Raw genomic sequence first — 23,779 nt, forward strand, 5'->3', positions numbered from 1 at the left:
AAAGCAGAGATTTACTGAAAATGAAAGTATACTCCACGTGATGAGAGAAAGAATGAAGCAACAAAAGCAAAGATTTATTGAAAACAAAAATACACACTACATGGTCGGGCACGGTGGCTCACGCCTGTAATCCCAGTACATTGGGAGGTTGAGGAGGGCAGATCACTTGAGATCAGGAGTTAGAGACCAGCCTGGCCAACATGGTGAAACCCCATGTCTACTAAAAGTACAAAAACTAGCCGGGCGTGGTGGCACACGCCTGTAATCCCAGCTACTTGGGAGACTGAGGCACGAGAATCGCTTGAACCCAGTCTGCACTCCAGCCTGGGCGACAGAGTGAGGACTCCGTCTCAAAAACAAAACAAAACAAAACAAAACAAAACAAAACAAAACAAAACAAAACAAAACAAAACACTCCACATGATGGAAGCAGGCTGCTGGGAGCAGGCCCGAGTATAGGGGCCCCCAGGTTACAGAATTTTCTGGGGTTTGAATACCCTCTAGAGGTTTCCCATTGGTTACTTGGTGTCCATCCTATGTAAATGATGCAGTGGCCCACAATCAGTCTGATCGGTTGCAGAAAGCAAACAGAGGCTGAGGTGAAATTACAAAAGTTACACCCTATGCAAGCATCTGATTGGTTGTGGCAAGCAATTGGTTGTTTTCTGCAACCAATCAGATACTTTCAATTTTCCATCTGCCACACAGAAAAAGGGGAAGTAGGCTTGCAAAGGGAGTAGTCTCTGGTCCTTTTCTTACTTAGGTTTGAAAAATTGTTTTCTGTTTGATTTAGTTCTAGGAAGTCAGAGTGAATCGGCCTTAGGTTCCGTGCCTCCAGACCCTGTTCTCCTGCCTCATTCCTACCAAGCTGCTCCCTGCAGGGGCCTGATGCCCTCAGGGAAGATTCTATGTATTCACTGTCTGGGGCTGCTCAAGCCACTGCTCTGCGCAGCCCTGCCTCCCACTGGCCTTCTCAATGGCTTTCCGCTCAGGGAACCCCTGCAGCCTGTAGTCTCCAGGCAGGCCTTGGGCCACCAGGCTGGAGAGAGCCGCGGCCACACTCAGCGGTGCAAGGTGACCCGGCTGTCTTCCTGGCAGGTCCTCGTGGGAGCGGCTGTCCCTTGTTCAGGGGCCCGGGACCGCGTCCCCGTCCCCCGACATGTCCCCCAAGCATGCCTTCAGGGCAGGGTGCAGACTGGAAGGCTGGACTGGCGGGGACACGCGTGTTCTGCATCTCCTAACGCTGTGCCCACTGTGGGTGGGACGGTGACTGGCTTGGGTGGGGTCCAAGGCGGGGGTGACGAATGACACCCTTGGAGAGGGGGCCTGCAAAGGGCACTGTCTGTGGCCACGTGGTTACTGTGGGATTTGGCCTTGGGGAATCTGATGGATGTTGACAGCCAGTTCCTGCCTCTTTTCCTCTTCTGGAGCCCCCTTGCTAGCACCGCGAAAAACCCCGCACAGCTCCAGCCGCGGGGCTCGCTCAGGAGCGGCCGCGAGGGGACACCCAGGTTGCGCTGCAGGAAAGCCCTTGTCTGAGCAGGGCACGGGGCTCCACGACAAAAGGACACGATTTGACTTAAATTATGTTTTTCCCTTGATGATATTTTCATTTTCTTTAAAAGGATGTAGTTTTCTTGGACCGTGGACCAAGCTTATTTCTTAAACAGATTCCAGCAAACTCACAAGTGTCCTTCAGCTCTAGGCCTGCTGTGTGTGTGTGTGTGTGTGTGTGTGTGTGTGTGTGTGTGTGTATGTGTGTGAATGTCTGGGGCCAAGGCCAGGGATGACTGGGCTGTGGTGAGAACCTGACCCTTCCCAGTCTTCCCTGATTTCTCTTGTTCCTGCAGCTACCTAGTTTGGGGATGGATGGGGAAGGAGGCCCCAGGATGAGTCCTCACGTCTCTGCATCCCACTGGGGGCTGCGTACAAATGGATGAGGACCCCCCCCTTGAAAGGCTCCTGGGTGGTGTAGGCCCTGGATGGGAGAGTTGGGGGGTAGAGCTGGATGTGGGATCTAGATCAGGGATGCTTGGGGCTTTTGATGCCCTGATATGGGATTGAGGAGGGGGCATGGTCAATGCTGAATGGGTGTGAACAGATGACTGGGGATGGGGAGCAAGGGAGATTCTGGTGGGGGAAGCACGGGAAGGTTGAGGTCAGAGCTGGGGAAGCTGAATTCCAGGTTGAGGAGAAGGAGGTGTGGTCGCAGATTGCAGGGAACCCAGAGGACTTGAGCAGGGAACCCTCTGGCCAGGTGGGTGTGGCAGTTGACATTGGAGTTGGGGTGGGGGTGGAGTCGGGGGTGGAGCTGCAGATGGCAGGGGCAGTGTTGAAGGTGGAGGGTGACGGTTGAGGCAGGGAAGGGGCAGTGGGGTGGGGATACCCCATCAGGTTGTCCCATGCCTCTCTGAGAGATGCCTGCCCTTCCACCCGCCCTTCTGGGGTCAGTCCCTCCCACTTCCCCCTTGGCTGAAGAACACACACAGAAGCTGGATGGATGCAGGTGAGTTTATTAGGCAGCATTGTCCCGCAGGGGACAGGCCTGGGTGGGGAGGTGGGGGGCAGCCGTTCCCAGGCTTGCCCCAATCAGCACAGCAGGAGAGAGAGTAGAGGCAGCAGCAGGGCGGGAGCTAGGGAGGGTGGGGCCCTGGGCCCAGATTCTCATGGTTGGGACAGGCAGCCTGGACAGGAACCCGAGGTGCCTATGGATGGTGTTACTTCAGTATCGTGTCGGCACACTGGTTGTTGATTTCTTCCTGTGGGGAGGGGTGGGAGGCCGAAGGGAGGGGTCTTCTGGGGAAGGAGGGATAGGATGGGGTTGATTGCGGAGGCTGAGCATCAGAGCGCGGAGGTCCAGCGCCCTGAGGTCTTGTCCCTGGGCAGCTGCCCGTGTGAGAGGTGGTTGCTTGGTGAGAGGTGGGGAGGTATTTGGGTGGAGAGAGAGGCTCTCAGGGAACAGAGTCCCTGCTCTCAAAGGAGGTCAAGGGCTGTGGGGTGGCGCTGGTGGCCGGGCCCTGCTGCACTCACCAGTTGCTGCACGACGGCCTCTGTCTCCTCGGGGGTCATTGTGTCGGTCACGCAGTCCTTGAGTTTAGAGGATGTGTTTCTTTCCGGCTCCGTGAGGTGGTATCTGTTGACAGTGTCCATGTAGGTGTCCTTGTCCTTGGTCAGAAACTGGTTAATGACCGTCATAAGCTGCGGGCAGAGTTTCCTGGGCTCTGCGGGGAGAGTAGGAGCGTGTGATCAGGGAGGGGTGGGTGCCCCGGGGCTGCAGCGCGGCCCGGGCTTCCCTGGCGGGGCCTACCTGCGAGCAGCGGCAGCAGCAGGAGACCCAGCAGCGCCAGGGCTCGGGCGGACGCCACGCGGTTCGGGGTCGGGGCCGGTAGGTATGCGGGTCACACTGGGGCAGTGCGGACGCAGGTCCCTCTGGCATCTCGGGAGACGCGGTCCTTAAACTCCGTGTCCTGGGGGCGGGCCCGGGTGGCGTGGCTTGGCTGGACAGGGAGGGTAGGGGCGGTAGTGGGGTTTGTGGCACTCCAGCGTAGCAGGTTGCATCTGCGGGTCCCCGCCCCTGCCCCGCCCCCAGCCCCTCCCATGGTGCTGGATCCAGGCAGCTGATGTGCAGGCGGGGACCCCTGGCTGGGCGCGGTCCTGGGCGCGTCCCTGCGCGGTTCAGGCTTCCATGCGCGCTGAGACTCCGCTGGCTCTGTGGCCTGCCCCGTCGTGTGTGCGTCACGAGGCTTGGGTGCACGCGTTTGAGAATGGGATATGTGTGTGTGAGTGGAATGCGCTGGTGGGAGCGTGTGGGGTGTGTGTGTGTGGCACCTGAGGTTGGGGTGTTGACTGTGTGGGGTGGGGGTCTGTGATTATATGAATATGAGGGTGTGATTGCGGCTGGGACAGGGCATGTGGCTGCCTCTGCCTCTGCATCTGAGAGAGACAAGAAGTGATGGGAGAGTCTTGTGTGGGGGCCCTGCGGGGCAGGGACAGGGGACCCTTCTTCACTTTATGCCATCTGGAGGTGAAAAGCCAGCTAAGTAGCAGGCTTCATCCTGGAGACAGAGGCTGGGAGACTGCAGCTGAAAGGTGTGGGTTCCGGGAGGGCTGCAGGGGGCTGAGCAGCAGCGTCAGGGAGCAGAGGGCCGCCCTCCCTCCATCTTCCTTCCTTCTCTGGACCCCAGAGCACTGTGTCCCCCTCCCACCCCTACAGCTGCAGGTGGAGCCAGCTGGAGGGGTCTTTAGAAGGAAGGGGGTCCTCTGAGGGCAGAGAGGGCCAGGAGGCTCCCTGAGGACCTGAGGCCCCTCTGGGCCTCCCAGGGCTGGGCCTGTGGTCTGATCTGCTTTGCCCTGGGAGAGACGTGCTCAGTGGTGGGGTTTGTGTAGCTGTCACTCAGTCACCTGCCTGTGCCCAGCCACACACCTGTGACTCCCATGGGCCCCACCCAATACACATGTGGGTCTTCAAGTGCCGTGAGGGGAAGTTCCTGCCTGTGTCACATGCATCCATCCCACCCACCACACTGCAGGTTACAGGACTGCCCCACAAGCGCCACCATGCCAGCCTGACGTTACCTGGCACACAGGTATCCTCACCTGCATGACATGATCAGATCATGCACTTTCTATGCCAGGGCCAGTGCCAGGGCAAGCTTGTATCTTCAGCTTTGGGGACACTGTGGGGCGGGTGGTGGCTGGAGGCCAGGGAAGTCACCAGGCTGGAGAGGGTTGATGTCAGACATCTCCCGTGCACCACTTTGAGCCACCTCAGCCTCACCTGGGACTCTGGCTGGCACTGGGACTAGCAGTTCCATGAAGGTTTAGAGCATCTCTAGGCTTAGGAAGGGCCTCCCTTGTCATCACTGTGGTCCGGGCTGCATGCCTTGTGACCAAGGGCTCTGGACAGCAGATGCAGCCAGCCAGAGTGTGGGGGTGAGGGGCCTGGGCACAGGAGGGATGGGAGGCCTTCCCTGCACCCCCATGGCCACCATTTCAGAGGGAGGACAGCAATTATTTGGGTTTGTCCTGTGAGCGGTGGCAGAGAGAAGGCCCCAGGGCAGGTCTAGGGCCAGACAGGCACCCTCTGCTGCAGCCTCGGGGCCACCAGGCACGTGATGGGGCCGGTGTGGGGATGTCCCCTGGCCAAACACATGGGTAGGGGGTGCTCTGGGGTCAGTGGGTGGGTCCGGGCGTTTGCAAGAGCCATGTTAAGATAGACAGTCCTGAAGGATGGAGGGAGGGGGCAGAGGGGTCAGAGAATGGATGGATGGGGGAGACGGCTCCTGCCGCTTCCTGGCCTCTAAGTGGGGGTGATGGGTGGTAGGTGAGTGCAGTGGGAGCTGCAAGGCTGAGCCAGGGAAGTGGAGGCAGCAGAGATGCAGACCTTGCCTGAGGCTGACTCGGGACTGGGGCTTCTTAGAGGCCAGGGCCCTAGAGCTCCTGGACAGGGAGTTTGCAGGAACAGTGATGCAGCATACAACACAGCACAACTCGACACAACACAATCTGCCACAGCAGAGCAGCGTGCGGTGCACTGGGCTGCAGCAGAGCATGGCCCAGGGTCCAGGGAGTCATGTAGGCTCCAGGGAATCATGGAGCAAACTGACCTGAGCCGCATCCCTCAGCCAAGGCACAGGCCCCCAGCCTTGAGCCACCCACTTCCTTGGGACAGCTGGATGCCCTAGTGTCCCTGGGGCTGAGGATGGGGCTGGGGCTGCTGTCCAAGGTGAGGTCTGACTCTAATCCCCTGTCTCTAATCCCCAGTCGTTTGGGGAACTTGGGCGTCTTCCAGGGGACCCAGTGGTGCTGATGGGATTTCTGGGCACCTCAGCCAGGTCCCCTGCCCACCTCGCCACACTGGTTCCCACTGCAATCTGGCTTTGGGGCCTGTGTGGCCTCTGCTTACTGAGCCCTGTGGTTCCCTGCCAGGCACCGTTGGCCCTCCGGCCAGGCTGGCACCTGGAGAATGGCCTGTCCCCAAATCCTGCACTCTTCCCAGCTCACCTGCTTTGCTTTTCTCCCGCACTGGGAGGTGGGAGCCAGGTTGACACTGGAGGAGGAGCTCCCTCAACTGTGGCTTCACCTTAGGGTTCTGGGCAGGGTTTTGGGCAGTGAGACTTTCTGGATAGGGGCTGGAGGTCAACAGCCTTCTGAGTGGGGAGTGGTCTCATAGCAGAGAGACCCACGGTGGAGGGGTGGGGTGGGCAGGGAGGACGACCCGGCTGTGGAGGAGCTGGGGCAGGCAGGTTACACGGATGCAGTTCACACTCCCTCCTTCTCCCCATCCTCTCCCACACCCCCCGCGTCCTCTCCTGTCTCTTCCTCCCTGCCCTGTTCTGTCCCTCTTTCCCCTCTGTGTCTCCATCTTCCTGTCCCTTTTTCCTTATTCATTTGTCCTCCTCTTCACTTTCCATTTCTCCCTTTCCCTCCTCCCCTCACCTCTCATCTTTCTATTATGACATATGACACAAATACAGACTAGGACACACCATATAAACGTATCTTAGGTGATGACTGTGACGCAAACCTCACAATACCCCTGCAGTTCAAGAAAGGTCATGGTGAGCCCCTCCCGGCACCAGCCTCACTGCCTAGAGTTGACCCCTGTCCTGAGTTTGTGGTTTCTTGTTGTTTTAGTGGACGGTTTTGCTACCTAAACATCTTCACATATAATAAGTGTTAATTTTACTCTTTTACAGTTTTTATAACCGTGGTCACCATGTGTGTGTTCTCCCATATCTTACTTTTTTGTTCAAGATTTTTGTTGGTATCAATCCACATTGCTCTCTTTATGGTTTAAAAGCATCGACCATTGTGTACTGATTCTATTATCGTGAACAGCACTACAGGGAGCTTTTATGTGTGGATGTCCTGGCACACATTTACATTCACATTTGTATGGGTTTGTGCCCATGTGTGGAATTTTAGATGATAAGGCATTCATATTCTTGACTGTCTTAGGTAACAGGAAACCTTGAAAGCAGTTATACAATGCACACGCTCAGCCACACTGTAGTATTTCCTGCCACTCTAGATCGCCATAGGCTGGTATCGTCAGTGTCGAGTGAACCATCTGGTAGGCAGGTGTCAGGGGCATCTCATTGGGTTCCCATTTGCATTTTCTGGTGTAAGGAGGTTGAGGCCTCTTTATGTGTTTATTGGTCATTTAGTGAAGTGTGAGTAGAGGGCTTTTTTCCCGTTTATATATTGCATGTTCATTTCTTTTTTCCATCTCTGGTCATTTGTAGGAGTTTTTTGTATATATATATATATTTTTTTTTTGGAGACAGGGTTTCTCTCTGCTGCCCAGGCTGGAGAGCACTGGCATGATCTCAGTTCACTGCAGCCTCAACCTCCTGAGCTCAAGTGATCTTTCTGCCTCAGCCTCCTGAGTATCTGGTACTACAGGCGCATGCCACCACACGTGGCTTATTTTTGCATTTTTAGTAGAAATGGGGTTTCGCCATGTTGTCCAGGCTGGTCTCGAACTCCTGAGCTCAGGTGATTCACCCGCCTCGACCTCCCAATGTGAGGAGTTCTTGCTATCTTCTTTTTTTGTTTTTGAGATGGAATTTCACTCTTGTTGCCCAGGCCGGAGTGGAATGGCGTGATCTCGGCTCACTGCAACTTCTGCCTCCTGGGTTCAAGCTATTCTCCTGCCTCAGCTTCCCGAGTCGCTGGGATTACAAGCACCCACCACCAGGCCCAGCTAAATTTTGTATTTTTAGTAGAGGTAGGGTTTCACCATGTTGGCCAGGGTGGTGTTGAACTCCTAACCTCAGGTGATCCACGCGCCTCAGCCTTCCAAAGTGCTGGGATTACAGGCGTGAGCCACCACTCCCGGCCAGTATTTTCTTGATAAGAGCCCTTGTTTGGTTATTTATTTAAAATGCCTTCTGCAACACTGGGGATTATTAGCTTTGTATTCCCTTGACGGTTTTTATTGAACAGAAGTATAAGGCTTACTGTAATGAAATTTATCAACGCTTCCTTTCTGCTTGATGTTGTGTGTGTGTGTTTTGCTTAATAAATAGTCTTATCTTTTTATTTTTATTTCTTAATGTGGTTTTATTGCTTTGGAAAAAAGATTCTCATCTCATGGTCATAAAGATATTCTTCTACATAAATACTTGTGAAGTCTTTATTCTTTTGCCTTGTCCATTGAGGTCTCTAAGGTACATGGAATTGACTTTTGTGTGAAATGTGGGTAACAGTCCTCTTACTTTTAAATTATATAGATTCCCTGCTGTCCCAGTACTGTTTAGGACAGGAGTGTGTAATGTTTTGGCTTCCCTGGGCCACACTGGAAGAAGGATTGTTTTGGGTCACACATAAAATACACTAACACTAACAATACCTAATGAACTAAAAAAACTTAAAATCGCAAAAATCTCATAATGTTTTAAGAAAGTTTACAAATTTGTGTTGGGCCGCATTGAAAGCCACCCTGGGCCGCAAGCATCCTGCGGGCTGCAGATTGGACAAATTTGGTTTTGGAGAAGATGGCCCTTATTCCATTATTCTCAATGTCCCTTTGTCAAAAAGCAAGTGCCCCATAGAGGGACATAGTTTGCTTCTGAGTTCTCTATTTCATGTCGCTGGTCTGTTTGTCTGTATGCCAATGTGGCACTATGTTGAGTACACACTAAAGCTTTAGTTCTTGACTCTGGCAGAGGGGGTCCTTCCGCTTTGGCCTTGTTCCTGGAGTGTCTTTGCTGTTTTTGACCCTCTGCGGTGCCAGACGTTTAGAAACAGCTATTTGAATTCAATGTGGGAGAGAACTGAAGTTTTGATGACATCGAGTATTCCTCTCCATAATGCTGGGATATGTTGCCGTTTATTTTGATTCTCCCTATTTTCTCTCAATAATTTTTTACATATATATTTCTATGGTGCTCTTATACATGTATTAATTGATTGATTCCAAGGCATCTGTTCTTTTTAATGCCATTGTAAATGTTACATTCTTTTAAAGTGTAGGTTTATAAATGTTTGTGTTGCTATATAGAAAATTTTAATTATTCTATATTATTTTGTATTTAGGATTCGAAGACTCTTTAGTATTTTCTCTGTAGATTCTTTAAGATTATTTATATAAATATATCAACGTGTATTTGTTTCTTCCTCTTCAATATTCATATATTTTACTTGTCTTGCTTTATTGCATTTGTAGAATCTCTAGTGCAATGTTGGATAGCAATGGTGAAAACAGGCTTTTTGTTTAGTATCTAAACTCAAGAGGAACTTTTTTGTTTGTTTTGCTCTTGACAGCATTGTATTTTATATAAATTGTTAAATTTCACGTAATTTTAGGCTTATAAGAAAGTTACACAACATTATATATAAATATTTCTGGATACCCTTCATCCAGATTCAAGAGGATAGCTTTTGATATTTTATCATTAAATAGGAAGTTTAACGTAAGATATTTTTGGTAGATGTTCTTTGCTAGATTAAAGATATATCATTCTATTTCTATTTTTTAAGGGGATTTTTAAATCTTTTTTGAGACAGGGTCTTGCTTTGTCACCTGGGTTGGAGTGCAGTGGTGTGGTCTTGGCTCACTGCAGCCTCAACTTCCTGGACTCCTCCCACCTCAGCCTCCCAAGTAGCTGGGACTACAGGTGGGTGCCACCACACCTGGCTAATTTTTGTAATTTTTTTAGAGACAGAGTTTTACCCTGTTGCCCAATGTGGTCTCAAACTACTGGCTCAAGTGATCTGCCCACCTTGGCCTCCTAACATGCTGCAATGACAGGTATGAGCCACTGCATCCTGCGTCAGATAATTTTTTAAATCGAGAAAAGATGAATGTTATAGCACATCTCACTTGCATTTAATGAACTGTGTGTACAGTTTTTTTCCCCTTAGTTCTGTGAAAGTGTTACATCAAATAATTTTCTAATTTGAAAGCTACCTTGCATTTCTGGTGTAAATCCTCCTTTATCAGCATACACTATTCTTAAATGTAATTTATTCCACTTTGCCAATACCTTGCATGGTACATTTTGTCTATGTCCTTGAGTGGTTAAATTTTGGTGTCAGGATGATACCAGCTCATTATGAATTGGGGATGTAGTGGTAATTTCTATTTATTCCAACAGATCTAGTCTTCTTCTTTCCCCAGTCTGCTTTGTACCCCAGAACATGGCCTTTTGTGGACTGCATCATTGGGCTACATTGCCCTTTGGTTTTTGTGGGTCAACACATTGGAGATATAGCAGGGCACTGAAGGAAAGAGGAGAGTGAGATGAGGGGACTCACTCCCAGTTGCCCTCCTTCAGGACTACAGGTTGGCCATGGCTGCGTTCCTATCCTGGTGGCCGAAGGTCCTGGGAGCTCGCTCTCTCCTACAGTTACAGGTCTCACTGGATTGTAGCAAAGCTTCTTTTCCTTGCCTCCCATTAGATATTTTGCTCTTGCTTGCCTTGGGCATTTTGTTATTGGTTTCCCTTTACTTTGCTCACAGCAGAGCCATAAGCCTGTGAACCCAGGGGTGTCTGAGACAGGTCTCAATCAATTTGAAAGTTTATTTTGCCAAGGCTAGGGATGTGTCTATGACACAGCTTCAGGAGGTCCTGAGGACATGTGCCCAAGGTGGTCAGGATACAGCTTGCTTCCATACATTTTAGGGAGACATAATACATCAATCAATGCATGTAAGATTTACATTGCTTCGATCTGGAAGAGCAGAACAACTTGAAGTGGGGATGGGGGGGCTTCCAGGTAGTAGGTAGATTTAAAAATTTTCTGATTGGCAGTTGGTTCAAAGAGTGAACCAATAGAAAAGAATGTCTGGGTTGTGATAAGGGATTGTGGAGACCAAGGTTTTTATCATGCAGATGAAGCCTCCAGGTAGCAGGCTTCAGAGAGAATAGATTGTAAATATTTCTTATCAGACTTAAGGTCTGTGTTGATGTTAAATCCTGGTCAGCTTTTCCTGAATTCCAAAAGAGAGATAGGTATAATGAGGCATATCTGACCCCTCCTTCCATTATGACCTGAACTAGTTTTTTAGGTTAACTTTGAATGCCCTTGGTCAAGAGAAGGGTTCCATTCAGATAGTTGCGGGCCTTAGAATTTTATTTTTTGTTTATAGTCATTCATTAAACTCTTGTCATGTATCCTGTGTGAGTGTGCCATTTCCTTCCTGCAGGGACATTGAGTGGTACAGGGAATGCACCCTCATTATTTATGCTTTGGAAGAATTTGTATAAGATTGGAGTGGTGTAAGCGCCCGACGGGTTCTTCCCGCCTGCTCCACAAACAAAATCAATTCACAGAGACCATAACATTGCAGTAAAGAAAGAGTTTAATTGATGGGAGGCTGGCCATGCCATGTAGGAGACAGAGTTATCATCAAAATGATCTCATTGAAGGCTCAGAAGCTATGGGATTTTCAAAGATGCTTGGTGGGCAGGGGACTTGGTTATATGGAGTGGTGAGGGCTTGGGTTGAAGACGAAAGAATAGGGAGTCAAAGCTGTCTTTTTGCATGGAGTCACTTCTGGATGGGGCCACAGGAGTGGCTAATGGATCCAGGTGGAGCCATCAGTGTTAGACACACAAAGAAAACCTGAAAAGACATCTCCAAAAGCCAATCTCAGGTTCTACCATAGTGATGGTATCTGCAGAAGTAACTGGGGAAGTTGCATATCTGTGAAATCCAGAATAATTGGTGGCAATTATTTCATATGTTTATTAAAGTTGTTATTTTGTTTTAATAGCTTTATTGAAGTATAGTTGACATATAACAATTACATATACCTAAAGTGTATAGTTTATAATTTTTGTTTATGTCTATACCTTGGCCAAATTAAGAGGGACCATCAGGCACTATCCTCCTAGCTTGATGGTCTCTCATTAGCTTTATAAACACAGTTGAGTTTTGGGGAAGGGCTATTATCATTTTAATTATAAAGTAAATGTCTCTTTTTAATGTTCTTCTCTTCATTAATCTATTAAGTTGATTCTAATTGTACTTTAAAATCTTGTATGTTTATTAAATTAAATTATTTTGTTTTAATATCTTTTAATAAAGTATAATTGACATATAACAAATATGTATATCTGAAGTACATAATTTGTGACTTTTGACAGTTGCAAAAATCAGAACCACCATAATGATCAAAATAATGAACACATCCCTCACTTCCAAATGCCTCCTTGTTCCTCTGTGTAACACCCTCTCCTGCATCTCCTTAATCCCTTCCTCCTCTCTAGGCAACCGCTGATCAGCTTTATGTCAGTATAGATTAATTTGCTTCATGTAAATTCAATCATACAGTATGGAATGTTATTATTTCTTCAGAGAGTGTTGTCCTTCTGGTTCATCTGTGTCATGTGTATGAATAGTTTATACCTTTTTTGAATGTTAAATTTAAAAAACTACATACGGTGATACTCACTATTTTTGATGTACGTTTATTTCCATGAGTTTTGACAGCTGTGCCTTCTGCAGGTTTTGTATTGATGTCTGGAATCTCAAGCACTACCACCACAATAGAGATGCCATTTTCTTACTTTCAAATATTCCTTGTGCTGTGCTTTTGTAGTGAAATATTCTCCTTGTCCTCAATTCTGAGCAGCCACTGGTTCATTCTTTATTCTGATACCATTGCGTTTTCTAGAACTGCTTATCATGAAGTCACGCAATATGTAGCTTTGTTGTTGTTGTTGTTGTTGTTCTTTGAGACGGAGTTTCACTCTTGTTGCCCAGCCTGGAGTGCAATGACGTGCTCTCGGCTCACCGCAATCTCTGCCTCCCAGGTTCAAGCGATTCTCCTGTCTCAGCCTCCCGAGTAGCTGGGATTACAGGCATGTGCTACCATGTCTGGCTAATTTTTTGTATTTTTAGTCGAGATGGGGTTCTCCATGTTGGTCAGGCTGGTCTGGAACTCGTGACCTCAGATGATCCACCTGCCTCGGCCTCCCAAAGTGTTGGGATTACAGGTGTGAGCCACCACACCCGGCAATATGTAGTTTTTTTGAGTCTCGCATCTTTTAATAATTTGATCATTTACAAATTCTAATTATGATCTTACATTTTTAAAGGTATCAAGTGTCATTACACTTTCTTGATTTCTTTCTTTTCTAGTTTATTGTTGATGTTCAGGAATGGTACTGATTTTAGTATGTTGATTTTATATCCTGCACCTTTAATGAATTTATTGATCAGTTCTGAGAGTTTTTTGGTGGTGCTTTTGGGGTTTTCTGTTCATAAGATCATGTCCTCTGCAAGCAGAGACAATTTGACATCCTCCTTTCCAGTCTGGATGCCCTTTGTTTCTTTTTCTTGCCTAATTGCTCTGGCTAGGACTTTCATTACTACATTGAATAAAAGTGGCAAAAATGGACATTCTTGCCTTGTTCCAGATCTTGGAGGAACAGCTTTGTACTTTTCCCTATTCACTATGATGTGAATAGGCTGTGGGCTTGCCATACATCGATTTATTGTGTTGGGCTACATTCCTTCTATACTCAGTTTGTTAAGAGTTTTTACCATGAAGGACTGTTGAATTTTATCGTGCTTTTTCTGCACCTATCGAGATGTTCATATGGTTCTTGTACTCATTCTGTTGATGTGATGTGTCTTATTTGTGGATCTGTGTGTCAGGAACCATCCTTGCATCCCTGGGTTGAATTCCACTTGGCATAGGAATGATCACTTTGATGTGCTGCTTCATTTGTTTGGCCAGTATTTTGGGGAGGATGTTTGCATCCACGTTTATCAGTGATATTGGCCTATAGTTTTCTTTGTTGTTGTGTCCTTCCCTGAGTTTGATATCCGGATAATGGTGGCCTTGTAAACTGAATTTGGAAGAATTCTATACTCTTCAATTTTCTGGAAGAGTTTGAGAAGAATTGCTATTAATTCCTCCTAAATATTTGGCGGAATTCTGCAGTGAAGCCATTGGAGTCTGGAATTTTCTTTGATAGGAGACATTTTATTACAGATTCAATTTGTCACTTGTAATTGGTCTGTTCAAAAGTTTGATTTCTTTTCAGTTCAATCTTGGAAGGTTGTATTTTTCCAGGAATTTATACATTTCTGCTAGGTTTTCAAATTGGTGGTTGTATTGTTGTTCATGACAGCCTCTAATGAGAGAAAATCTAATCATGAAAATTCACCCCTAGCTGAGGCCCACTTCCTTCCTCAGTGATGTGGCCGTCACCCAGGCCACAGGTCCGCATACCAGTGTGAGTCAGGCCGGGCCAGGTGGGCGGGAGGCTTGGCCGAGTGGCACCAGGAAATGCTTCTTATTGCTATTGACTCGGCTTGAAGATCCCTAACCTGCATAGGTTTTTGGAATTAAAACAGAAAGGTAAATGTCAGGCCTGGTGAGTTTCCAGACCTCTGGCATGCTCAGCCCCAGGGCTTGCCACCCCACAGGGGTCGGATGCTCCATCTCCCGCTCCAGTCCCTCTCTCACTAGACTTTCTGCTGATGTCCTGTGCACTCAACCAACATGACCCAGTGTCTAGTGAAGTCACGCAGAGCCCATGCAGGAGACACACAGGGCATTGGTGACTTGGTCACACTCCTCAGGGCACATATGGGGTGACCGATGGATGGAGGAGAAGGAAATGGGGGTGCTAAGAGTTCACTCTTGACTTGGAGAAGGAGACCTGGAGAAGGTCAAGTGTTGGAACCACCCTGGCAGAGGTCAGAGACAAAAAGAAACCTGAGAGATGGGGCCCAGCAAAGTGGAAAGCTGGGGTGTACAGAGGGAGGGTGGAGGATCAGGTCTCAAGGTCAGCAGGCTGGGTCCTGCCTATTGTGTGTTCTGGCACTGGGTATGGACTCTGTGCTGAGAGATATGGGTAGGTGTCTGGGGTGTGTGGTGACGTGATGAGACCTGGACTGTAAGAGGTCACCTCTGCATTCTGGGCAATGACTTAGGGGTTGGAGGGAGGCTATGGGAAGGTCAACACTTAGACGTACTGCCCACCTAAGACTGGAGTGACCTTGTGAGGTGGCTCTGAAGGGTGTGGGAGGCTGACTTCAGGCAGGAGAGGTAAATGGGACTGAGCTAAAGGGAGGTGTGGGGAGCACTGGTCAGGGCAGAGAGGATGGCTCAACGGCCTGTCTTCTACCAGGGAGTGGCTCAGAGCCAGGGCAGGAGGCCAGCTCTGAGTTGGTGGGAGCCTGGCAGAGGTTTTGCTCAGGAGTCCTGGGAGGCCCCTGGACCTGAGTGACAGGTCTGAGGGGTCTCACTTGCACTTAAGGCATTAAAATGTCCCTGTGCCTTTTGTATCCTATTAGTAGGTCAAGGAACCCAGCAGCAAGGTGGACTTAGGCCTCCAGGGGCTCTGGCTGTCATGGGTGAGGGGAGATGAACAGAGTTGGAGGCTGCAGGGAGGAGTGGAGGGGGAGCTGGCAGGATGGGCCAGGGTTCCCCACACAGGCTCAGTGGAGAAGGGCTTGTCATCATGGTGACCCTTTGTGCTGCAGCCTAGGGGGTGAGACCTACAGTCATGGACCAGATCCCAGGGCAGTGTGGATGATGGAGGAGGAGGGTGAGTTCAAGGCAGGTGTGGGGACAGAAGATGTGGGCCTCCAATGACCTGCACAGGGCCTGCATTTTATCCTGAGGAAGGAGGATCAGGAGCCCCCGAGGGCTTTTCCTGGAGCCGCAGGTGCTGCCATGGAGTGCAGGGAAGGTCACTCTGGCAGCTGTGGGGATGGCCTGGAGCCCAGGGAGTTGGTCCTAGAGGAAGGAGGCAGCTGCCATAATCCAGGTCAGAGTCAACAAGGACATAAAACCACCTGCTCATTGTTTACTCATTTCTTCATCACAAGTTCTCTGAGTATGTCCTTGGATCCAAGGCCTGGGAAACCAGGAATGTGGGTATGACCCCATTTCAACCTTGAGAATGGCTTTGAAGCCTATTGTCCCTAGACCACACCTGAGGATGTTACCTGGCCCACTTTTCTCACATTACACAGGAGAGGACTGAAGACAGAAGGGGTATGGTTTCCACCTCCAAGGTCCTGCACAGCCCAAGGACACAGGGCCTGGAGGAGGTCCCAGGTGTCCTCATGTCGTGACCTGACCTCTCTCAAATGGAACATGGATCTCAGCTATGATTCTATTTTCCATCCATCCATGCACTCATCATCCATCCATCCATCCATCCATCCGTTCATCCATCCATCCATTCATCCATTCATCCATCCATCCATCATCTATCCATAGATGCATCTATCCACCTATCCATCCAACAATCCATCTGTCCAGCTATCCATCTATCCTTCCATTCTTTTATCTGTTTCAGAGACAGCACTTCCTACATTTGGGCAGCAAGACTCTTGTTGAAGAGGATGTGGATGAGGCATTTCTGTGGGTGCCGGAGAAGCTCCATATAGTGCTAGGTTAATATTACTAAGTTATGGCTGAAATTCAATATTCTATGAAACATACAAGTAGGGAATATAATTCCTTATACCAACAATACAGAGATCATCACATATCATTAAGAATAACAGAGTCGTAAGCATTTTAGTTAAAGTAAACTCACAGGACATTGTCATTTTAAGAAATTACTCAATTTCAGGACAACTGACAGATCATGGGTAGACTCATCTTCAGTGACAATTATTTTCTAACATTTTCCTTATTCTTTCAAACACATGTGAAATGCTTTTGCATCTCAAAGTATTTATATCAATAACATGTTTGTCCAAATTTCTCAGGGCATTTCTAATTCTTTTCATTTACTTCTGGTTGAAACTCTCCATCTTTGATTGCTACAAGCTGAGTTTTAATTGAGACTGAATAAGTAGCATGATCTGCATTATTTTCTTTAGCTCCACAGATTTAAATTCCATTGAAATGCTGAAATTTACATGTTTTTGTCTCCAGGCCCAACTATTCCATGAGCTCCAAACTAGAGCGTCTCACACCCCCTGTGTCCCGTCCTCCTGGATAGCTAATGGATGTCTTGGATGTGGGAAACTTATCCAGGCCAGCATGGGACTCTGGATCTTTGCCCTAAACCTGCTCCTCCCCAGGCTTCACCTTCTCAGCAGTGGCATCACATCCAGCCAGCTGCTCCAGCCCAAATGTGATGAGATCATTTTGATTCCCCTTCTCTCCACATCCTCTCCCCATATTCAATTCAACAGCAGGTGCTGTCAGTGCTGCCCCAGCCTCTGTCTCCCTCGTGTCTCTCCAGGGCTGCACTGTGACAAGGCCACGGTGTCTACCTGGACGGCCACAGGGACTCCCAGTTGGTCTTCCTGCCTCTACTGCCGCCCCCGTTGCTCTATTCCAACAGGGAAAGTGTGACCTCGTAAGTCCTGCTCATCCCCTCCCAGGATTTTTCACTGCACATGGAAAGGATCCACCTTTCTGCAAGGTCCTGCGTGACCTGGCACTTGCCTCGTTTTCTGACGTGACCTCCTTCCCTGCTGCCCCTTGTTCCAGCTGCACTGGCCATTTCTCCAACACAACAAATCCTTTCTCATCATGCCGCATTCCCTGCCCCAGACCTTCACCTGGTGGCTGCCTCAGGTTCTTCAGGACTCAGGGGAGATGTTGTCTCCTCAGATGCCTTCTGGGACCACCTGACCAATGTGGCACCTCAAGCCAGTCCCGCCTGATCACATTTCCCTGTTGGGTGGTCCTTGTGGTTCTCATCACTATTACAATTTTCTTGAGCTTTGCAACCCCCTCTTCACCTTGGATGTGAACTTCAGGGAAGCAGGGCCGTCACCTGCCTTGTTTTCCACTGGGTGCCCGGCTCTGGGAAAGGGCCTGATGTGTGGCAGGGGACACTTCTTCCCTGGCTGAGTGGATGGGTGATGACTGGGATGGAAAGTGCATTAAATGAGGCCAATTCTGGGGACAGAGGGGAGATGATGTGTCCTGAGATGGGGGACTGAAACGTGTGACCTGGAGGAGATGACGGCTGAGGGATGACAAGGAGAATGGGTGGAAGGGAGAAAGGGCATTTTGGGCAGTGGGAGTGAGGGAGGAGAAGAATGTTGAAAGGAAATCTGGGAGTGCAAAGATAGGGTGGTCAGCAGTGGAGCCTTGTCCTGGCCAGCCGTGTGTGCCCTGCTGAAGGTGGGTCTGCACTTGTAGGGAAATGAGCTCTCAAAGATCCAGGGAGAAAGAAGATCCAGGCTGGTATTCCCATGGAAGGGGAGTGAGGCTGGAGGCAGGGAGACTCAGAGGGATGGAGGTCTCGCTGACCTGAGCAGGAGGGAGGGACAGGGTTTGGAGGGTGTCATCTGAGAGACACCTGGGTGGGAGGGAGAGGGAGGAGTCTAGGGCGGTGTGAGCTGATAGGGGTAGGCGACCACCGCCTGGGAGGTCCAAGGAGCCTGCGGAAAGGGCTTGAGGTTTGGGGAGGGACCTCCCCCAGAAGGAGTTGATGGAGCCTCATCAGTGTATTGAAGGCCACTGAGACCTCCATCGAGGATGAAATCAACTGAGGGGTGAGGTGGGAGAGAGGGGCCGTGTTTGAGGGTGGCACTCGTTCCCTGTGACCTCAATGTCAATGTCCCCTGTCATGGTGACATGGCCACACAGACCCATGGCCTCATGCAGATTGCCTGGTCCCACCAGCCCCAGGAGCAGAGCTGAGCTGCAGGTATTTATGGGGACGCTGAGGCTTGTGACTTAGCCAGGAGGGTGTGATTTCCCAGCCTCCAGCATCCCGAGTCCTGGGGAGCCCTGGAGGTTCTGCATTGAGGGGTTGTGGGGTAGAGGTAGGGGGAGAAAAAAGGACAGCTTGGGTAGGTAGGGATGGAGAAGTGTGTTAAGGTTGATTTCCTGGGTTCCGAAAACAGGCATATCGACTGGACACAGTGGCTCATGCCTCTAACCCTAGCACGTTGGAGGTTGAGGTAGGTGGATCATTTGCGGTCAGGAGTTTGAGACCAGCCTGGCCAACATGGCAAAACCCTGTCTCCACTAAAAATACAAAAATTAGCCAAGCGTGGTGGTGTGTGGCTGTATTCTGCTACTCAGGAGGCAGAGGCAGGAGAATCGCTTGAACCCAGAAGGTGGAGGCTGCAGTGAGCCAAGATCGCGCCAATGCACTCCAGCCACCCTCCTCCCCGCCAAAAAGAAAACAGGCATGTCTATGCTACACCTGTAGAGTTTTTCCTCAGTCGCATATTTTCACACTGGGACCCTGGTCACACTCTGCATATGCGGTCACAGCCAACCCCACACAGATGCCAGAACACAGAACTGAGCTGCAGGTGTTCATTGGGGTCTCTGTAGTGATGAACAGAGCCAGGCCAGGAACGCGGGGAGCCCCAAGGAAGGCAGGAGGGCCAATATCTGATCTGCAGGGGTCCTCAGATCAGAAGGCTGCTTCTATGCAATCGTTGCTCTGAAGGATCTTCTTCTGTTGGAAAAAGAAGAAAGAGAGGAGCCGGTGGCCTCTGTGAAAGGCTCCCCAGACTCATCGTTATTGCCCGGTCCCCGAGCTCAGAGGAGCTCCTTGAGTGTGTCTGCTTGTTGGGGATCCCAGGCTCTGGACAAAGATGGTGGATGTGGGTTGTGTCTCCTGCTTGAGTGTGACTCTGCATGTGTTGGTGTAACACGTGTATGCATGTGTGTGGGCAGGCATGGGGTGTGTGTGTTGCTGTTAACAGCGTCCTGTGTGAGTGTGTGTTGCTGTGTACTCATCATCAGTGCTTTGGTGCAGTGATTGTGGTTCCCTGCATGCCTAGGCCTCTCCCGGGCACCAGGGGCAGAGGTTCTCCCCTTGCAGAGTTGCAGCGTCTGGGTCGAGGACTTGGAGAGGTGAGGCAGGAGGGCCCTGTTGGGGCAGGTGGGGAACTTCATCTGATTTTGCGCATCCTGGGATGTGGCTTCCTGCTTAAAACGTGGAAAGCAGGATGGAAGGCAAGTGCAGGGAAGTGCAAGCCTGGGACGTGTGGCCATGTAGTGTGTGCAGGTCCCCCCGGGCACACTCACAATAACAACTGAATGAGCAAATCTTTCTGTCACGGAGACATTGGCAAAGCATTGCTGGACATTGAGGAAGGACTCCTCTGTCAGGGGACTGGGGTTGTAACGAGCAAGCTCCTCCTTCAGGAGGTCTTGGGACACATCAAACACAACATTCGCAAGCAGTTTATCGATATCCAGGCAGGCATCCCCTGTGGAGGATGAGGTGAGATAAGAAAACAGAGGAGGTCAGAATTCAGCGAAACCTCCCATGGCCAATGAGACCTTGGGATGGTGATGAGAGTGAAGGAGCAGGGCCACCGCTTCCTCCCAGCCCTGCTCGCCTCTTTCTTACCCAGCTGGACGCTGCAGATCAGAGCCAGCAGAAGAGCACAGGTGGCGGATGTCACCCTCATGACAGCGGAGTCTGGTCCCAGCAGGCACAGGCAGGGAATTTGGCGATGGGTGAGCTTTATGTATATCTGAACAAGGCACATGCCTCTTCGTGTGTGTGTGTGTGTGTGTGTGTGTGTGTGTGTGTGTGTGTGTGTGTGTGAATGTGGTCAGGGCAGGTCTGCAGAGAGACCCTCGGCCCTGGGCCATGCTGTTGGGGTGGCAGCGTATCGGGAACTGGACTCAGCATGCAGTGGGAGGGGTTGGGTGTTGTGACATTCTCTCTGTCCTCCCTGGAGCTCCCTGGGATTGGGAGCAGGCTGAACACTGGTGTAAGCCTGCAAGTCTGAGTGTGCATGCACATGTGACCCTGTGTCTTGGCAAACGTGTGTCTGCACTTGGCACGCCCTAGCACAGAATCTGCCACTGAGTGCTGGCTCAACAAACATTTGCTAAGTGAGTATGTCTGTCTGAATGGATAGCACATTAGGTGCAGCTTTTGAGAAATCAGTAAACTGTAATTTAGATTCAAAGAACATTATCTGGAGTAAAACACAGAACCTAAAGGACATGAGATGTAGCAAGTGTGTTAGGGACACATGTGACACAGTGAAGGGATCCTACATGTTGGGGACCAGCCTCAACACTACCCGTAGGGTACCCGAAGTCTGGTGGTGACAAAGGATTGAGAAAAGACAAGTTAAGAGTGAAAGGTGGGGAGCCAGGGGGCCAGTGCAAAATGTGGAGGCTGCAAAAGGTGCCGAGCTCTGGTCTCCACACTATTTATTGAGTACAGTCCCTTCGATCTAAGAAGCAGATGTTCAGGGAGAAACAGTGAAAGGGTGGCAGTGCATCACAGGCATAATCTATAGCAATAGCAGTTTAAATGAGTCTCCTTTGTGCTCAAACAGCATAACTTTAACTTGTTGGAGAGTAGCTAGTAGGAGCGGCCTTGACTGGGAGCCTGCACGTCTGTCCACATTCCAGTGTTTCAAAGAAGTGTCTTTCTCCCTGAGCACAGTGTTTACAGAGAAGACAGCGGGTCTTGCTCTGAGCATGGGAACATGATGGCAATTAGGAGGCTTTCCTCCTCAGAGGCCTTTTGTGGCTTTCCACAACTTATTCCCGTATTTTTATGGCCAGTTTATACAGGCACCCCACAAGCCCTTTTCCCAGCACCTACATATGAGGGAGCTGATGTCACTCACGTGATTTTTGTCTCCTGACAGGACCCTAAATTGTAAGTGTGACCCCAGGGGCAGAATCAGCAGGTGGGGACAGCTGGGGGTGGGGAAGGCAGCAGGGATGCTGACGCTTGTACACTCGGGTGCCAGTGCCGCTCCAATAGCGGTTTGTGCCCTACTGTGTCAAGGGAGGGTCTGGCTAGGAGCACCTGAGGGACACGCCCGGTGCAGAGGACACTCACTGGGCTGCTGAGAGCCATGTAGAACCGCAGAGCAGTTCCTAGATTAGGCTGTGCCACCCAGACTGAGTGGGCTCACCTCGGCCAGGCATGAGCCATCACTGTGCACGTACAGAACCTCATAGTAGCGCCCAGGACTTGGGCCTCTTAAAGGACCTACCCAGCATTGGGTAGGACTTAGAGTGGCCGTCACCAGTGGCAGGGCCCTGAACGCCCCCACATTCCAGTTGTAAAGTTGAGTGGATGAGTTGACAGTTGGACTGGCAGACGCTGAAGCAGGGGCTGTGGCTGAGCAGGGAGGATGGAGGCCACTGCCACTCCCTGGCCGGCCACCTGCTGTGTCGTCCCTGCCACCTGTGGTCCTGCAGCCTGGGCTGCAACCTGCGCAGTGCAGGCGTCCATGCGTGCTGAGACTCTCAGCCGGCTCTGTGGCCTGTCATGTTGTGTGTGCGGGACGAGGCTTGGGTGCACGTGTGTGAGAATGGGATTTTGTGTGTGTGTGAGTGGAATGCGCTGGCAGGATTCCACCCACTATGTGGGGTGGAGGGTCTGTGATTATATGAATATGAGGTTGTGATTGTGGCTGGGAGGGGCTGTGTGGCTGCCTCTGCCTCTGCATCTGGGTCTGTGTCTGAGAAAGAAAGGGAGAGATGGGGGAGGCCTGGTGTGGGGACCCAGCAGGGCAGGGACAGGGGATGTTTCCTCACTTTACACCATTTGGGGACCCTCCCCAGGGGGAAAAGCCAGGTACAGTGGAGAAGCACTGTCTGAGTGGGCTTCGTCCTGGGGACAGAGGCTGGGAGACTGCAGCTGAAAGGTGTGGGCTCCAAGAGGGCCGCAGTGGGGCTGAGCAGCAGAGTCAGGGAATAGAGGACCTGGGAGCAGAGGGCCGCCCTCCCTCCATCTTCCTTCCCTCTCTGGACCCCAGAGCACTGTGTCCCGTCTCAACCCCCACAGCTGCAAGTGGAGCCAGCTGGAGGGGTCTCTAGAGGGAGGGGGGTCCTCTGAGGGTAGAGAGGGCCAGGAGGCTTCCTGAGGACCTGAGGCCCCTCTGGGCCTCCCAGGGCTTGGAGCATGTCCCTCCCAGTGGCTGATCTGCATTGCCCTGGGAGGGACATGCTCAGTGATGGGGTTTGTGCAGCTGTCACTCAATCACCTGCCTGTGCCCAGCCACTCACCTGTGACTCCCATCAGCCCCACCACATGTGGGTCCTCAAGTGCCATGAGAGGAAGTTCCTGCCTGTGTCACATGCATCCATCCCACCCACCACACTGCAGGTTACAGGACTGCCCCACAAGAGCCACCATGCCCACCTGAGGTTACCTGGCACACAGGTATCCTCACCTGCATGACATGACCAGATCGTGCACTTTCTATGCCAGGGCCAGGGCAAGCTTGCACTTTTAGCCCTGGGGACATTGGGGGTGGTGGTGGCTGGAGGCCAGGGAAGTCACCAGGCTGGAGACATCATCTACCTCCCTAGAGGGTTTGATATCAGACATCTCCCGTGCACCACTTTCAGCCATCTCAGCCTCACCTGGGACTCTGGCTGGCACTGGGACCAGCAGTTCCATGAAGGTTTAGACCATCTCTAGGCTTAGGAAGTGCCTCCCTTGTCATCACTGTGGTCTGGGCTATGCGCCTTGTGACCAAGGGCTCTGGGCAGCAGATGCAGCCAGCCAGAGGGTGTGGGTGAGGGGCCTGGGCACAGGAGGGACGCGAGGCCTTCCCTGCACCCTCATGGCCACCGTTTCAGAGGGAAGACAACAATTATTTGGTTTTGCCCTGTGAGCAGCAGCAGAGAGCGGGGCCCAGGGCAGGTCCAGGGCCAGACAGGCATCCCATGCTGCAGCCTCGAGGCCTGCAGGGCACATGATGGGGCCGGTGTGGGGGCGTCTCTTGTGCCAAACAACTGGGCAGGAGGTGCCCTGGGGCTGGTGGGTGGGTCAGGGCGTTTTCAAGAGCCATGTTAGGATAGAGAGTCCTGGAGAATGGAGTGAGGGGGCAGAGGGGGCAGAGAATGGAGGGGTCGGGGAGACTGCTCCCACTG

General features: G+C 50.8%; 1 protein-coding gene and 2 pseudogenes across 23 annotated transcripts in view; all 3 read right to left on the reverse strand.

The window, feature by feature from the left end:
- Positions 1–23,779, reverse strand: part of ZNF807P (zinc finger protein 807, pseudogene) — a 135,468-nt pseudogene that overhangs the window by 32,544 nt on the left and 79,145 nt on the right. The window lies entirely within an intron of this gene.
- The window catches only part of SCGB1B2P (secretoglobin family 1B member 2, pseudogene), a 100,431-nt pseudogene continuing 79,145 nt past the window's right edge, over positions 2,494–23,779 (reverse strand). For 3 of the 14 annotated variants that reach the window (NR_170961.1, NR_170962.1, NR_170965.1), the window contains 3 exons: positions 3,308–3,497; positions 3,031–3,221; positions 2,494–2,705 (listed from right to left, as the gene is read on the reverse strand). The product of NR_170961.1 is annotated as a secretoglobin family 1B member 2, pseudogene, transcript variant 6 (transcript). Of the gene's footprint in view, positions 2,797–3,030; positions 3,222–3,307; positions 3,498–12,406; positions 14,293–19,103; positions 19,365–23,779 lie in introns of all 14 variants that reach the window. The other 11 variants (NR_027620.4, NR_170966.1, NR_170968.1 and 8 more) reach the window with 10 other exon arrangements.
- Positions 11,294–23,779, reverse strand: part of SCGB2B2 (secretoglobin family 2B member 2) — a 91,631-nt gene continuing 79,145 nt past the window's right edge. For 4 of the 7 annotated variants that reach the window (NR_170947.1, NR_170949.1, NR_170950.1 and 1 more), the window contains 2 exons: positions 19,940–20,124; positions 16,409–19,364 (listed from right to left, as the gene is read on the reverse strand). Coding sequence is in view for 1 of the 7 variants with exons in the window: in NM_001025591.4 (NP_001020762.1) it covers positions 19,320–19,364; positions 19,940–20,124; positions 20,268–20,328 (291 nt within the window). In the remaining 6 variants the exon portion in view is untranslated. Of the gene's footprint in view, positions 14,293–16,408; positions 19,365–19,939; positions 20,125–20,267; positions 22,360–23,779 lie in introns of those variants that run through there. The other 3 variants (NR_170948.1, NM_001025591.4, NR_170946.1) reach the window with 3 other exon arrangements.

This window comes from Homo sapiens, chromosome 19, assembly GCF_000001405.40.
Source record: "Homo sapiens chromosome 19, GRCh38.p14 Primary Assembly".
NCBI lineage: Eukaryota > Metazoa > Chordata > Mammalia > Primates > Hominidae > Homo > Homo sapiens.